The following is a 16,867-nucleotide window of genomic DNA, read 5'->3' as shown; positions in this document are numbered from 1 at the left end:
ATAATCTTTTTCATTTACTTTTATATTTTGATTTTAAGATAATGGCACATAACTTTTTTCCATACCAGATTTCAGTATATACTAGGTTTTAATGTGAATATTTCTGACTCGTTTTATTTTAGTGATTTTTTTTTTTTTTTGAGATAGGATCTCACTCTGTTCTCCAGGCTGGAGTGCAGTGGCATGATCTCAGCTCACTGCAACCTCTGCCTCCTGGGTTCAGGCGATTCTCATCCCTTAGCCTCCTGAGTAGCTGGAACTACAGGCACATGCCACCACACATGGCAAATTTTTGCATTTTTTTAGAGACAGGGTTTTGCCATGTTGCCCAGTCTGGTTTTGAACTTCTAGACTCAAGCAATCCACCCGCCTCAGCCTCCTGAAGTGCTAGGATTACAGGTGTGAGCCACTATGCCTGGCGTATTTTAATTATTTGTTAGTGGGTTGAATTTAGTTGATTCACCTTTGATCCTAATTAGGGCTGAAGTTAGATTATTTGAGCTTAAAAACAGTATACTTCACATTTGGGTCTTCAGGGACACAAACATAGATGTCCCCATGTTGGGCATTTCAGTAGCACTCTGTAGTTTAAGACCAACTTAGATATTGTTAAAAGCGTAAGTGGAAGTCAGCCACATTTCAGTAATACGTAGGTTAGGTTGCTTTTTCACATGACTCTTATAGCTGAAGTTCTCCAGATTTTAAGGTAAGTTTTTCATTATTGAAGTTTGACTTCACTTGGAGGTTACTTTCTTAGTCTGTGTTCTGCCTCCCTTTTGTGTGTGTGCCTCGCAGCTCTTGGCACTGGCACACAGTAGGCACTGTATGTCACATCTGATAATGTAATGCTGGTCCCAAGAACGTCTGACCATGCAGGCAAATCCAAAAGCCTTCGATTCCCCCACCCTGCTAATATAATTGAAATGTTTTTAAACAAATACTGAAAGAGGGCTGTGGTTATTAAAAAAACATTGGTAATGACTATATCATTACCATTTATCATTACAAACAAGTTACAAAACACTCTTAGTAGTTTTATTGATAGATACAATTAGTTTGGCTATTGGATGATCACATTACTTTAAAACACGTCATGTTGATATGCCTGAGTTCTGTGATGTTTTGAGGTAATATATTGCAGAAGTCTGTACAGATACAATTTATTATTTTTATACTTAGCCTTAGTTTCTCTAATGATATCTTTTTTAAAAAGTGCCTAAAATGTTCAGTTTGACTATCCAGTTAATTTTTTTCATTATTTTTTAATTTTTAAATTGCTATTCCCTATATGATAGTAGTAAGTATATTTATTATTATACTGTAACAGTAACATTTAAAGTATTTGTTGAGCTTACTTTTTTTTAGAGAATTCAGCAAAGTTCTTGAAAAGTAGGTGAATTTGATGAATTTCACTGTTAAAACTTAGTAATGAAAATATTCAGATATAATAGCTAACCATTAGATAGTAGTAGAGATAGGCATTGCATTTTAATCACAGGACATGGCTTCTTTTATTAATACTGTGATAAATGAGATAAAAACGAATTCATTTAGATTTGACATGAATGCCTCCTAAACGCAAGATATTGTGCCATTGCTAGAGGTAGAGAAAGGAACAAGGAATGGGCTTCATGGAGTTCACATTGTATAGGCATTAAATGCTGATAAGAAAGGTATGGAGAATTGATGAGGAAACATAATGAAGAAGAATGTCAAATTCTTCCTGGGGATGTCTGAGAAGACTCCACATAGGAAGTAATAGCTGGCCTTTCACAAAAGGCAGGCAGATTTCAGGGACTAGGGAGTACCATAAGGGGGACATTAGAATGGAGTCTCCATACAGTTAGAGATTTGTCTTGTTTGCTGCTGTGTCTCTGAGCTCTGAACGGTTCCTGGCTCATTGAAGAGGTCAGTAAATATTTGTTGCAAGAACCAGTAGGTAGGAGAATACCCTTAAGAAATACCAACACATTTTTTTGAGGACTTAACTATTTGTCAGCCATTGTCTTATGAGATGGGTACTATCATCTTCTCTCCATTTTATGGGTATGAAAACTGAGGCTTAGAGAAGGTAAGTAATTTGTCCAAATAAATAGGAAGCAAGGGCTCATAATCAGGTCTCTCTGACGAGTAGCCCATGCTGATAATCAGTGTGCCATGTAAAGGCCCAGTGGCATGAAAGCAAGTGTCATGCTGTTGAGTAAGTAAGCTAGTCAGGGTACAGGATGGGGAGCGTGAGGGGTGGCACAGAACAAAGGTGGGAAGTATGGTTAGAATAGTTTGTGGTGATGTTTGGAAAGGTCTCCTGCCATGTAAGTAGTTGAATTGAATTTTTGTCAGAGGTTGGGCAAGTTTAGGAAATAACAAAAAGTGAAGGAGAGGAGAGGAGACTGTGGCTGGGGGTAGCCCTTTCAAGAAGTTTTACTGTGAAGAGGGGCAGAGAAGATGGTGGTGTCTAGAGCAGGTGTTTAGAATAGAAGGAAGAAGTATTGTTTTTATATTAATGGGAATGAAGTAGTAGAGGGTGAGGAGGACTTTATGGAACAGAAGAAAGAGGGGATACTTGCATGATTATAGAAGTGGAGTAGAAATGGGATCCAGGGCATGGGTGGGATTTTGAGGCTTTTTAGGAGCAGAGATATGTTTCTTTCTGCTGTAACTGGGAGGAAGGAAAATCTTATTACAGATGCAGGTAGGTGTGTAGTTTTGGTGGGTTGGAAAAATGAGGGATTTCTCATCTAATAGTGTCCAAAAAAGGCAAGGTTTTCAGCTGAGAATAGGGGCTGAGAAATAGTGTGTTGGAAGTCTGGAAAGAATGAGAGTTGTGGAAAAGTTCCTAACAGAGACTAGGAAATAAAACTTCTTAGGGAAATGTAGTAGCGTTGATGAACAGCACTAATTATCTATTTGAATTGTGTTGTCTTGAGTTTGTCAATTTTTTAGGTTTTTATTATAAAGAACTTCAGTCAGTCAAAGAAGTAGAGAGAAGAGTGGTGTGATGAGCCCGATGTGCCCATTGCTCAGCACCAACCATTTTCAGCATGCGCCAGTTGTGTGTCTTTTATTCTCCATGTTTCTACTCTTGCCTTCTCTCTTTCACTAAATATTTTAAAGCAAAGCCCGTATATCTTATTTCACCCATAAATATTTAGGTATGTGTGTCTAAGAAGGACTTAAGAAACTATAACCACAATGATATGATTATTTCTAACAAAATTAATAGTAATTCCCTAATAACATCTGATACTTCATCTTCAGATTTTCCTGGTGCTTTTTTTTTTTTTTTTTGCATTTGGTTCATTTGAATGAGGATTCAAGCAGTGTTGAGGTTTTGAAATTAAAATGGGAACTGTCAGCTTGGTTTTGTGGCATATCTTCAGTGACTTCATAGCTTGTGTTCAGGGATCATAGCTGGGTTTGACTGGTTAGGGTATGATTTGCTGGATGAGTGCGATAAAGGGAAAGAGGCAGGGATTAAGAAACCCTTTTAAAGCCATGAACCAGGCAGTTTAAGCTGATAGAAGGAATGAGGGACTTTGAGGGGAAATGGAAAGTGAACAAAATGGAGTGAGTGGATTGGATGCCTCTGTGAGGGTGAGGAGTAGTTAAAATACCACTTAGTATGCGACTAGGAAGATTAGGAGCGGTGATCACAGAGTCGGGGTTAGACATTGAAGTGTTTCATACAGTGTCTTTTGATGATGATAGAGATCCAGGGTTTTGTGACAGGATGTGTAACTGAGATGAAATAAAGGAAATAATTGTCATGCATGAGGAATCAAGGAACTGAGAGCTTTTTTTGTGAAACGGGGTCTTGCTCTGTTGCCCAGGCTGGAGTGTAGTGGCACAGTGATAGCTCACTGCACTCTTGACTTTCTGGACTCAAGCTGTCCTCCCATCTCAGTCTCCCAAGTAGTTGGGACTACAGATACATGGCACCATGCCCAGCTAATTTTTTGTTGTTGTTGTTGAGGTGAGATCTTGCCATCTTGCCCAAGCTGTTCTCAAACTCTTGGGCTCAAGCGATCCTCCCACTTCAGCCTGCCAAAGTATTGGGATTACAGGCGTGAGCCACCACGCCTGGCTGGAACATCTGTGAAATACTTTTCTTCTTTTGGTTTCCATGAGTATGCATTAAATTCTTTTTCCCTTTACTTCTCTGACTGTTCCTCCATCTACTTTTCAGATGCAGGTTCCCTTTTCCTTGTTCATCCTTTAAATAATGTTGTTCCTCAAGGCTCTTTCAAACTCATTCTATTTAATCTCCCTTGGAATAATACTTCTGTATTAATAGCCCTATGCCATATATCTCTAACTCACATCTTAGTCCAGAACTCCTGACCTGTGTATTCACCTGCTCGCTGCATAGCTCCTTTTAGACATGCCATAGTTGCCAACTTAACCCATCTACAAGTGAACTGCTCAGCTCTCCTTCCTCCCTCCCTCCCTCCCTCACCTCCTCCACATCTCCTCATTCTTCTCTTTCCTGTCTCAGCAAATTAATTCAGTCAACAAATATTTATTGGCTATTTATAAATACAGTCAGAAGAATACTGACAGGCAGTGTGCTAGGAATCTGGGATTCAGTATTAAACATGGCAGACATGAGCCCTAAGTCATACGTTGTAGTAGGGAGACCTACACTTGCGATTCCATGGCTAACTTTTCATTGTCTTTTATGTTTCAGCTTGTGGGCCACTTCTCTGTCCTCCCAGAACTAGTTGTGGCACCTTACTGAGTATTTCCCCTCACCTGTTCCTGGTCTTTCCTACTAGATTTTAAGCACATTAGAGGGTGGGAAAAGTGTATTGTTCAATGTATCACAGTGCCTATCACAGCTCCCTTAGCACATGGTGAGTGGCACTCGGTTAATATTTGTTGAATGAATGAATGGTTCAATCTGCATTTGACATAGGTCACCCTAGCAGTGGTGAAACTAAAGTTCATCTATAGAGGTTCAGGTGCTCATAATACATTGTCATGAATAACTGTTGCTTATTTTTACCTGGTGGTTGATTTTGGTTGTCCTACTGCAATTAACTTAATTTTTACTGCCTATTTCATTTACTTCCGGATTAAAAAAATAACATTTATTAATATAGCCCTTTCCAAAATAAAGGCAATAATGCAGATGTAGTACTTTAGTTAACAATTGATGGTTGAAATTAATTAATTCAGGCCTTATTTATTTAGGCAGGCAGAGTTGTAAAGGTTTTTAATATTTTCTTGTCACCCATATTTAAAAGCCTTTTCATTAAATCACTTTTCATTAAATTTCCCCTCAGGAAATCCTAGGAGTGCCTCATGCATCTGAACAGAGATATGATGCTGAATTCTTTAAGAAATTCAGAAATCAGAATATTGTTCTCTCAGCAAGAACTTATGCTCAGGTAATTTGCTTTTTGTAAATAAAATAATTATGGTTATTAACACTCTCTAAATCTTTGAGCTGTGCAGTTAATGTTATTGTGTGCATATATTACATTTTCTTTTTTGTTTTAATATTAATAAGTGTAGAGAAAATTTTAATTTAATATCCATCATTCTGAGTTTTAAAAATAAATAATTTTCATAGCCTTAGATTGAGAAACAGGATATAGGCTAGGAAAAACTAGGGTCATTTCAAGGTGTTTCATATCAGAGCTGCATAAAAAAGTTAGTTTTTGAATGTTGTCATATAAAATCACTCCTTTATTTCTTAGATTTACATTAGAAACTTACCCCTTGCCTTTTGTACAGGAAAGTAATGTACAAGCCCTGGAAATTCTGTTTACTTACCATGGTTCCGACCTGCTTCCTCATCGCCTTGCAATTCTGTCCAACTTTCCAGAGACCACTTCTCCACATGAATATTCTGTTTTGCTGCCCGAAGCTTGGTATGTGACTATGTTAACAGAATTTTACCTTCTTTTTTATATTGATAATTTTTTTGTCATGCTGAACACCTTAAAGTTAAAAAAAATAATTTTAATGTAATATATTTAAACTTTTTTCCTGATAAAAAATTAAGTTATTGTAAATGGTCCTGAAGCCAAAATGTTTCCAGTGTAACAGGCTTACCTTAACTTAATGAGCACAAATTTTTCCTTTTTTTGAAAGCCTCCTGATTTTACTTCTGTGTATTCAGTATGTACTGTTTTCTGGTTTAGAACAGTTTTTAGGATAATGTATGTCTGAGTTAGTTGTATCTTTTAGAAATTGAAGTGTGTTTTTGACAGTATTAGGTGGGAAGACCCAGAAACCCAGGAATACTGCATCCTCCTTTGCTCAGCAACCCTTTCTTCATAGGAAATTCCACAGGCACAAAGACAAATGGGAAATCAAAATATTGCTTTACCACTAGACTAATTATCCTCCTCTTAATTCACGGTGATTTGATAATTGGGTTGGGGCATGTGATATAGTGTCAAAGCCTATGTTGGAACCATTGAGTCCCTGTATTACCACCTGGTAGTCTTCCAGAGGCCAGAACATCTGTTCTTGAGAATAAAGGAGAGGGAGTACATTTGTCTCACTGCATAGCTCAAAAACAGACCATTTGCCCCAGGCCTGAATGGCACCTGGGAGAAAAGAGGGCTTAGCATACCTTGCTTAGGTCAGTTACTGAATAGAGGCATAAGGCAAAAGAGTAAGATGACACATCCATTTGTGTGAACTTTTACGTGAGGTAAGCTAGCCCACTAGTAAGTGTGGCTCAATGATTAACTACATGATTTATCTTTTCTGCATTTGAGTTACTTATCTTTAAAATGGGTTGAAGTCCCTGTCTTGCTTACTCACTTTGCATATTTTTAGTAACACCAGAATTGATAATTATAATATCTGCTTGTTAACTATAGTATACTGTAAAGTACCTTGTAGTACACTGTTAAGATAATTCTGACTGAAATCATTTTTACTAATTTCAGCTACTGGAAACTTACAGTGCTAAGAGATGTTATTCAAATTAGGGGATCATTTGGTTTCCTCATTCCTCCCTTGCTGCCTCCACTCAATATCCTATTTCTAGGCATGGGTATTAATGATGATGGTCAACATGTATAGAGTAATTACTATGTATTTGGCACTTATTTCTGGTCTTCAAATAATTTTGGTATTACCCTGTTATTACAGAAAGCTGAGATTTACAGAAGTTCAGTAGCATGCTGAAATCTATATATGGGCAGCCAGAATTTGAACCCGTATTTACTTTAAGTTGTAGGTCAGTAAGCAGCGAGAATATATTATAAACTCCTTAGTTTACATTAGTGTTAGTCCTTGAAAAGTAACTCTTTGTTCTGATAAAAATCAAGAAAAAGGGCCAGGTGCGGTGGCTCACGCCTGTAATCCCAGCACTTTGGGAGGCCGAGGTGGGTGGATCATGAAGTCAGGAGATCGAGACCATCCTGGCTAACATGGTGAAACCCCATCTCTACTAAAAATATAAAAAATTAGCTGGGCGTGGTAGCAGGGGCCTGTAGTCCCAGCTACTTGGGAGGCTGAGGCAGGAGAATGGCGTGAACCCAGGAGACAGAGCTTGCAGTGAGCTATCGCACCCCTGGGTGACAGAACGAGACTCCATCTCAAAAAAAAAGAAAAAATGCTCAGGATGCTTTTTTCATTTTCAAATAATTTTTAGATCTGTATAGTGAGGGATAATGTAAATGATGTTTTATAAATATATTTTATGCATGTTTTCAGAATATAATTAGATCAATGGTTCTCTATCTCTTTGCAGAATAAATCTAATCTGAATGGAAAATGGAAATGATCTTTCCTACTGTAAATTGTTAGTATAGAGAAAAGGGCTACTGTCTCTTAACGGTTTTTTTAAAGGCAGTTTCTCCTTCGATTTGGATACATTTGTCTAGGCCATACCACCCTGAAGGGCCTCCCCCATGTCCTCAGATTTGGATGCATTTATTGTCAGTGTTTTCTGATGATTGCTTAGATAAGCATTTGATTTTAACCTGAAATTTGAAAGTTGGTTTGCAAAAGAGCTGCACAGTACCCAATGCCACACTTTTCTTTGAATGCCCTGTGGTTCCTTTATGGGGCCTGCCACAAGAACCAGTTTAAATTGTGATCAATAATTTAGTCATACCCTATTGCAGCAGAGTATAATTAAAAGAATATAATGTTATTTTGAATCATTGTTTGGGGATATGTTGTTTAGACAAACTTTGAAGAGACTGATTTCTTATGAGTTCTTAAGTTAGCTTGTTTTCAAACACATTTGGAAAAAATAGAGTTTTTTTAAAATTAACCTTTGTTCTCAAGAAAGTCTTTCACACTGTTTTTTTGTATAGTTGTAAATAGTGAGAATGAACAATAGGTTACAATAATATCTCTGTCCTTTCATAATTTAGGTTTGTATTAGTCTGTTTGTGTTGCCACAGAGAAATACCTGAGGCTGGGTAATTTATAAAGAGAAAAGTTTTAATTGGCTCACAGTTGCACAGACTGTACAAGAAGCATAGCTCTGGCATCTGCTTCTGGTGAGAGCCTCAGGAAGTTTCCAGTCATGGTGGAAGGTGAAGGGGGAGCAAGCGCTCTCACATGGTGAGAGGGAAGCAAGAGAGAAAAGGGGGAGGTCCCAGACTCTTAAACAACTGGAACTAACTGAGTGAGAACTCACTTATCACCAAGGGGATGGTGCTGAACCACTAATGAGGGATCTGCCCTCATGATCCAGTTGTCCCCACCCAAACCCCGCCTCCAGCACTGGGAATCACATTTGAGTGTGAGATTTGGTGGGAAAAAACATCTAAACCATGTCATAGTTACTGCAAAGCAAAATCACACTTGTGCTTCAGGCATAACCTCTTCTAGGAGGATTTCTATAAGGTACTCCTTTCCCTATACTCATAATTCTTTCTTTATTTTCATAATGTAACACTTTTTACACTGTGTTATAGTCATACTTATTTCTGCCTTTTTCCCTCATTTCCTTCTTTAATAAATATCCGAGTAACTCTTAAAGACAGAGACCATCTCTTCCTTATGTTCAGATCCCAGTTAGGGCGGCGCTTGTATAGTGAGTATACTGAAAATATTTGCTGACTGCATAAATTAGGTCCTCTTGTGTCATTTAAAAAAGAGATTATGAAGTTTCCTGCAGGTAGTGCAGATGGACTTTCACTTGCTAACCTGGAAGAAGCCCAGGTCTGTGTTTACCGAGGACCTGAAGGATTCAACTGCTGTTTCAACCCATCGTTAAGGACAGAACTCTTTTATTCTAATTGAAGCTTTACCCTAAATGACAAGTAGAGCAGTAAGATGTACTTCTAGAAATTATTTCCGTTGTGAGGGTTCTTTGAATACTTGATATTCATTTTCAGCTCACTTGGAAGCAGTTCAGATGAGCAGTGTCCTATTTGTTGGTGCATGAGTGCTTTCCTCCACTTTCCACGCACCATTGGTTGGGCACCTCGAACGTGCATGGAACTGTGGTAGGGATTGAGGATGAGTAGAGCATAGCTCCTCTTCAGCACGAGTGATCAGGGATGCTTTACGAAGCAGTAGCACTTCCTGTTACAGCATCATGCTTTTAAACTGAGGAAGAAAGAAAACTTAAACATACCCTAAATAAGTAATTGCAGCTCATTCTGCTCTTTTCTTTTTTCTCGTCAATAGCAATGCTGAAAACTAACAAAATGACCTTGACATCCCCTCACTGCCTTGGATGGCCGTTAACTTTCCATGTGTGTGCCTTATTCTTCTATGAGAGTGTACATTGCTCAGTGGCTCAGCCTGTTTCATTTTGCTCTTTTCTTTGACTCCTCCACTTATATTTTGCAAGTAATAATGACTTTTTAATAATCTGTTGAATTGATTTCAAGTCAATTAGTGACTTGAGTTGAAACAAGTCACTAGACTCTTAAGTGTATGGCTCCCCAGATGCCTGTCTCACTGTGCAGTCTTCAGCCAGCTGTTAGGAGGCTTGCATAGAGCCCCCTGCTCTCTCCATTCCTGCCACACAGGCCTCTGGCTGTTCCTTGACCTTGCCAAGCCTGCTCCTGCCCTGGGTCTTTTTAATTTAGTGTGCCCTTCTCCCATGTCATCCTGTGACTGGGTCTCTTACTTCATTCTGAATCTCTACTCAGCATATCTCTTCATAAAGGTCTTCCCTGATCACATTTTTCATATAAGCTTCACTTTGCCCTTGCTTTTTGCCTATACTCTGTTTCTCTTCATAGCCTTACTCCTAATATGTTACATGGTTATTTGTCTTCTCTACTTTATCTGATCTTCCTTGGCCTTCCTATTTAAAATTCTACTCTCATTTTAAATCTTCCTTCTCTGCTTTATTTTCTTCCTAGCATTTATTATATAGTAATCTAATTAATTTGTGTTTTACTTATTTATCTTATTTATTGTCTGTTTCCCCTTCTGAAATAGCAGCTCCAATGGACAGCGATTTTGTGTGTTTTGTTTCCATCCTTATCTCCTGCAGTTAGAATATTGCCTGGAAAGTAGGCATTCGTTAAATACTTGTTGAGTGAATGAATAAATGCATGAGTGAATGTAAGATCCATAAAGAAGGACTTTGCCTCTTGTTCACGAATGTAGCTGCAGTACTGAGAACAGTGCCTAGTACAAACCAGTAGCTCAGGAAGTATTTTTTTGAAAGAATGAGTGACTTAGGAACCACAAATTAAGTGCATAGAAGGGTAGATAGAATTTTAGATTTTAGAGTTCAAGCTATATTAAATTTTGCAAAGCAATAGTAAGTTATGCCAAGTTGACCTATTGCCTGCTCTGTTTTGAGATCCCACTGGCAGAACTTTTGCCTTGGCATTTAACCAACATTTGATTAACCACTTTCGATTCAGACACATTTTATGATTATGAAAGCTGGGAAACTTCTAAATTATGGGCTATTTTTGTGTTTTATATTGTCAGTCTTAAATCATCATGTGTATTTGACATTGATGAAATGTGACCAAGTTTTGTAAAGCTTTGAAATTACATTTGCTGTCATAGTTGATGCATCTTTTTATAGCCACCTGTTCTGAGTTTGTAACTGTTATAAAATGTTTACATTTTATATTCTAGTTGGCTGTTTTAAAGTACAAAGGTGACATTTTTTGCAGTCTTTGTTAGCTTCCACAACTTGAGATAATAGAGATTTTCTGTTAGAAGAAGCATTTTGGCAGTGGGGTATTTTTTGGTGCCTATAGCATATTTCAGAAAGATTATTTAGATTTTTCATTTTTGCTCTTTTTCTATTTAAAAATATTTCCTGAGTGATGAATACAATTTGGTTAAAAAGACTGTATTTTGAACAGTTGTCTGTTGAAATAGTGTAGCGTAGGAGCAAGAGCATTGACTATCTAGTTGCCTATGTTTGTGATCTTGGGTTTCTTAACTGCACTGCAGTCTTCTCACTTGTAAAGTGGATATGCTCATAGCACTTACTTCATAGTGTTGTGAGAATGATTAATGAGTTAAGGTATATCAACCGCTGAGGACAGTGCTTGGCACCAAGTAAGTGTTGCTTTAGTGTTAGCAATTATTATTAATACAGAATCCCATGCTGAAGCCTTGGTCTTATGTGCTTATATACTTCATATACTTATTGCTTTAAACTTCTTACTGGAATATGTACACAGAACAGTTGCAAAGGTAATACAGATAATTCTTATATACTATTCACCTAGGTTTTTTTTCTTCTTCTTATATAACCATAGCATATTTGTTGAAATTAGAAATTAGCACTGGAATAGTCCGTTCTGCTATAATGTGACACATGAATTCCTAAAAGTCACTGCATTATACAGAATTATTTAGTGAAAACCATAGGGCATATGAGAAAAAGGGGATTAATGGTATAGTACTCAAGAACTTTGCTCACTGGAACATATTTAGTAACCTAACAAAAATTATAGCATCGGCCGGGTGCGGTGGCTCACGCCTGTAATCCCAGCACTTTGGGAGGCCAAGGTGGGCGGATCACCTGAGGTCAGGAGTTTGAGACCATCCTGGCCAACGTGATGAAACCCCATCTCTACTAAAAACACAAAAATTAGCCGGGCATGGTGGCACACACCTGTAATCCCAGCTACTTAGGAGGCTGAGGCAGGAGAATCGCTTGAACCCATGAGGCAGAGGTTGCAGTGAGCCTAGATCGTGCCACTGCACTCCAGCTTGACGACAGAGTGAGACTGTCTCAAAAAAAAAAAAAATTGCAGTATAGTTTTATGTGTATTGAATGGTTAAGAAATACTTACATACTAAAATATGGCCCTTTACCTTGAAAAATACCTGGAGAAGACCTTGCTTATGGAAGGTGAGTATCAGAAGAGTGGCAGTTTGTGAGCTATTGGGAAGTGGAGAAAGGAGGGTGATCAGAAATTTGATGGAGAGTTATAACACCAGCTGTGGATGGGAGTTGCTTCTCACACACTTGGTGAACTGAAGTAGCTGGTAGATGTTTGAGGAATGTACATGCACACGGAATCCGGCATGGCTTGGTTCAGCAGGGTGCAGTTTTCCATGTTCACCTGATGCTGTAACATGCAGAAGGATGAAATTGTGCATCAGCAAATGAGAAATTTGTGTAACATGTAAGTTGTTTCCTAATACATCCATTCATTGGAATAAATTTGCATTTTAAAATATTATAGCAGAACTGACTGTACAGTACTGTGAGCTAACTACAGATTTATTTGGATTTAACAGTTTTTTTTTTTAACTAATATCCTTTTTCTGTTTGAGGATACAGTCCAGGATACCACATTGCATTTAGACTTCATTACTTTTAATATCTGGAAATAAACTCTATTTTTCCATATCTGTTCATTAAGAAATGCTGTGACAATTATATGTTTACTGAACAATGAGAATTGATACTCATTTATATTCCTATATTATCTCCAGAATCAGTAAGAAAATACTGAATTATAGTTAGTATATTTGAAATATTGCAGTATTTAAAATATTTTATAGTATTAATGGGAAAACTCTGTTGATGGAATCTCTGTTGATTCTTCTCGCCCTCTTAGAAAAGCTGTTACTAGACAGGGTGTGGTGGCTCACGCCTGTAATCCCAGCACTTTGGGAGGCCGAGGCGGGCGCATCATGAGGTCAAGAGATTGAGACCATCCTGGCCAACATGGTGAAACCCTGTCTCTACTAAAAATACAAAAATTAGCTGGGCGTGGTGGCGCACAGCTATAGTCCCAACTACTCCAGAGGCTGAGGCAGGAGAATCGCTTGACCCCAGGAGGTGGAGGTTGCAGTGAGCCAAGATTGCGCCACTGCACTCCAGCCTGGTGACAGAGTGAGACTCTGTCTCAAAAAAAAAAGAAAAAAGAAAAGAAAAGCTGTTACTATAGTATCCTGGCAATTTGCTTGCTTGTAAGTATCTAAGTTTAGTTAGGTTATTTGATGATTCAAAGTTTGACTGTGAAAAGCTTGCTGTAACATGCAGATGGACTGTAATTGAGTAAAGTATGAAAATATGTTTTCGGTGTTGCCATTTTTCTTTCTGAATTTGATTGCATGGATTATCTGTTGTCTTCTAATTATTCTTGACCTTTGGTTTCACAGTAATTTTATGGCTTATCAGTAAGGCTAAAAAGTGACTGAGTGAACAATTTTAGGTCACCAGTGGTTTAGATCACATAGGATGCCAATTTAATCTTATGTCAGTATATACCTAGTCCCCATCTTCAGAAACTGCTGTTTTCCTAGAGCACAGAAAGCACAGTCACCTGCCTTCATTTAGAACAATGTTGCAAAACAGTGTGATAAATTGTATGACAATCCTGTTGGCAGAAGGGTTCTTCCTTAGGGCCTCTTTGTGCTCTACATGCTTTAACTGATGGCTTTGGTACTTTATTCTCTTGCTAACCCTGGGTCATTCCTGCTTTCCTTGGGCCTTGTTCCTTTTGTGCTCTCTGCCCCACTTGATGGTGCAACAGGAAATTCAGGGTCTCCAGAAGTTTTCCAATTCCCAATTTTAACTGGGGAGTGTCATCAGGTAAAGAAGTCTGGCATTCTTTTCTCCCTACTGATGAGTCATTGTCACTTACCCATTCTGGAGGGTCACTCACCCTTCTAGTGACCAATTTGGAGGGTACTATTCTGTTTGCAGATGTCATAGTATCCTGTGACAATTTTTTTAAAATAACAAGACTAACACATATCTCCTAATAAAGTGCTGTGAATATAGTGCATACATGAAATGATGGTTAATGACTGTTGGATGAATAAATGATTACGTGAGCAGATTTAGAAAATACAAGGTAGTGTGACAAAGTAAATAAGATGCAGTCAGAAGCATTCTCTTGAAACCGAATCTGGAAAGGAAACCTGTTGTTGGCTTTCTCAGACTGTAAACATGGAGATAATTCTAGTTGTGTTCTTCTACAATCCTATTCAGAGCGAATACATTTTTTGTGCATTCATAAATCACACTTTATATCTTTATATCTTGTTGACTCAGTTGAGCATAGGGACCATTAGGACCATTTGGCTATGATACACTTTTTTTTTTTTTTTTTGAGACAGAGTCTCTCTGTGTTGCCCAGGCTGGAGTGCAGTGGCGCGATCTCGGCTCAGTGCAAGCTCCGCCTCCTGGGTTCATGCCATTCTCCTGCCTCAGCCTCCTGAGTAGCTGGGACTACAGGCACCCGCCACCACGCCCGACTAATTTTTTTAGTAGAGACGGGGTTTCACCGTGTTAGCCAGGATGGTCTTGATCTCCTGACCTTGAGATCCACCCGCCTCGGCCTCCCAAAGTGCTGGGATTACAGGCGTGAGCCACCGTGCCCATCCTGGCCATGATACACTTTTAATTTTATCTTAAAAAATATTGAATTGTAAAATACACCTAACATAAAATTTGCCATCTTAACTATTTTTAAGTGTACAGTTCAACATTGTTAAGTACATTCACGTTGCTATGCAACCAATCTCTAGAACTCTATCTTGTAAAACTGAAACTCTATACCTATTAAACATCTCCCCATCTTCCCACCTAGCCCTTGGCAACCACATTTCTGCTTTGTATCTCAATGAATCTGACTTCTCTAGGTATGGCATGTAAGTGGAAATACAGTACTTGTTCATTTATTGACTTTTTTTTTTTTTTAGCGTAATGTTCTCAAGGTATGATATACTTCTGGTGAAATTAATATTAAGATTAAATAAGCTTTAGAGTGGTTTCTACTTGTGGGTCATGTTTCTGTTTATGCTGCAAAACTGTAAAGGATGAAGATAAACTCTAGTTTGAGATGGGAGATTATGTCACTATTTTTGCCTGAATCCCTTCGAAGAACCTCTTCTTCATCTTTTGGTGATAAAGAGAGTATCCAACCTGAAGGGAACTTCTAGTGTCTTTTGATACTTTATTTTACTCTTGTGGATTTGAATAGGCAAACGTGGAGACTTTTTGTGTTATTACAACAGCGTAAAACTTATGATATGAAAACAAAACATCAATATTCATATTATTAAAATTTCCAGTAGAACAAATTTGATTTAGGTCAAATTGATTCACTTTATAATTTAAATCATTAATAAGAAATTTACCTTTAAAAAGATCAGAGGATATTATTCCAGTTCTTCACAAATCAAAGGTAGATGGAAGTCTACTTTTTACTATACTGTAGGCCTTAAGTTGATGATATTTTGATGATTATATTAGTTTATGATTTTCCAGAAATGAAATAATTTGAACTGTCTTTTTTATTGACACCAAAATGGACTCTAGGCAGCTTTCAATTTAGAATGTAAATTGGCTGGATGCGGTGGCTCATGCCTATAATACCAGCACTTTGGGAGGCCATGGCAGGAGGATAGCTGGGGGGTAGGTATTTGAGACTAGCTGGGCAATGTAGTAAGACGCTGTCTCTACAGAAAATAAAAATAATTAGCTGGGCATGGTGGCACACTTCTGTAGCCCCAGCTACTCGGGGGCTGAGGCAAGAGGATCACTTGAGCTCTGGATTTCAAGGTTACAGTCAGCTGTGACCGCTCCACTGTACTCCAGTCTGGGCAACAGAGCAAGACTCTGTCAAATAAATAAATAAATAAATGGATGAATGAATGAATGAATGAATGAAGCTAAATTACCTTTTTCTCCCAAACAGTCCCAGAATCAATTACTGTTGGTATAGTTTCATAGTTTTATGGATATTCCAGAAGGTTGTCTTCCATAAGAAGAATGTTAATGTTTCTTGCAAAGCAGCTATTGGCTTTTGAATTTTAACCTTCTTTTGAGTGAAATTTATAATTAATCATGAGTACATGTAAACTCATTTAAAAATGAAAGCATCAAAAATGAACCTGATGCTGAAAAAAAGAAAAATAAGTTTAAACATTTCTAAATTGCTTTATATTGTTTCACTTTCATTGAAAGAACAGTTTAGCAAAAATGTGTGAGTCATATAAATTTTATATTATTTCAGAAATGTTTAGGGAATACTTGTGTTCCATATAAAGGAATTATATTTGATTCAGTAAATAAATAGAAATGTGAATCAGATGTGGTACCTGTCCACAGATAAATTTGTAATCTAGTGGGGAAGATCAGACAGGTTAGATACAACTTTAAGATAGATACACCTATCTTAAAATGTGTTATATGAGGAGGGTAGATAGGCTTAGAGATGGGAGAGATGCAACTTTCTGTTGCAAAGGAGGTGAATCAGGAAAGCCTTCTTGGAAAGGTAAGATTTGGATCTAGACCTTGAAAGTTGAGCATGTTTTTGATGTTGGGAAATTTGAGTAGGAAAGAAGTGTCTGAATGTATATTTAATCCAAAGTATTTCACATACTGAGTCTTTGTGTATATCATATTGCTTATTCACAGAGTACAAAATATATTCCCAATTAATTTGTTAGGTGAAAATGAACTAGTGTAGCATATTTCCAGTAA

At 37.8% G+C, this 16,867-nt stretch overlaps 1 protein-coding gene across 11 annotated transcripts in view, besides 1 other annotated feature; it reads left to right on the top strand.

The window, feature by feature from the left end:
- The window catches only part of NBAS (NBAS subunit of NRZ tethering complex), a 782,426-nt gene that overhangs the window by 94,258 nt on the left and 671,301 nt on the right, over positions 1 to 16,867 (top strand). For 9 of the 11 annotated variants that reach the window (XR_007076390.1, NR_052013.3, XM_017004317.2 and 6 more), the window contains 2 exons: positions 5,286 to 5,390; positions 5,740 to 5,876. Coding sequence is in view for 9 of the 11 variants with exons in the window: in XM_017004317.2 (XP_016859806.1) it covers positions 5,286 to 5,390; positions 5,740 to 5,876 (242 nt within the window). In the remaining 2 variants the exon portion in view is untranslated. Of the gene's footprint in view, positions 1 to 5,285; positions 5,391 to 5,739; positions 5,877 to 14,826; positions 15,031 to 16,867 lie in introns of those variants that run through there. The other 2 variants (XM_011510361.3, XM_011510360.3) reach the window with 2 other exon arrangements.
- Positions 699 to 892: a silencer, noted in NCBI's record as "fragment chr2:15606309-15606502 (GRCh37/hg19 assembly coordinates)". NCBI's record gives its function as "represses an EF-1alpha promoter that drives an FKBP-Casp9 reporter gene in an ReSE screen in K562 erythroleukemia cells {active_cell/tissue: K562}" and the evidence as "EXISTENCE:reporter gene assay evidence [ECO:0000049][PMID:32094911]".

This window comes from Homo sapiens, chromosome 2 (assembly GCF_000001405.40).
Source record: "Homo sapiens chromosome 2, GRCh38.p14 Primary Assembly".
Taxonomy (NCBI): Eukaryota; Metazoa; Chordata; class Mammalia; order Primates; family Hominidae; genus Homo; species Homo sapiens.
This window is presented reverse-complemented; position numbering and strand designations above follow the sequence as displayed.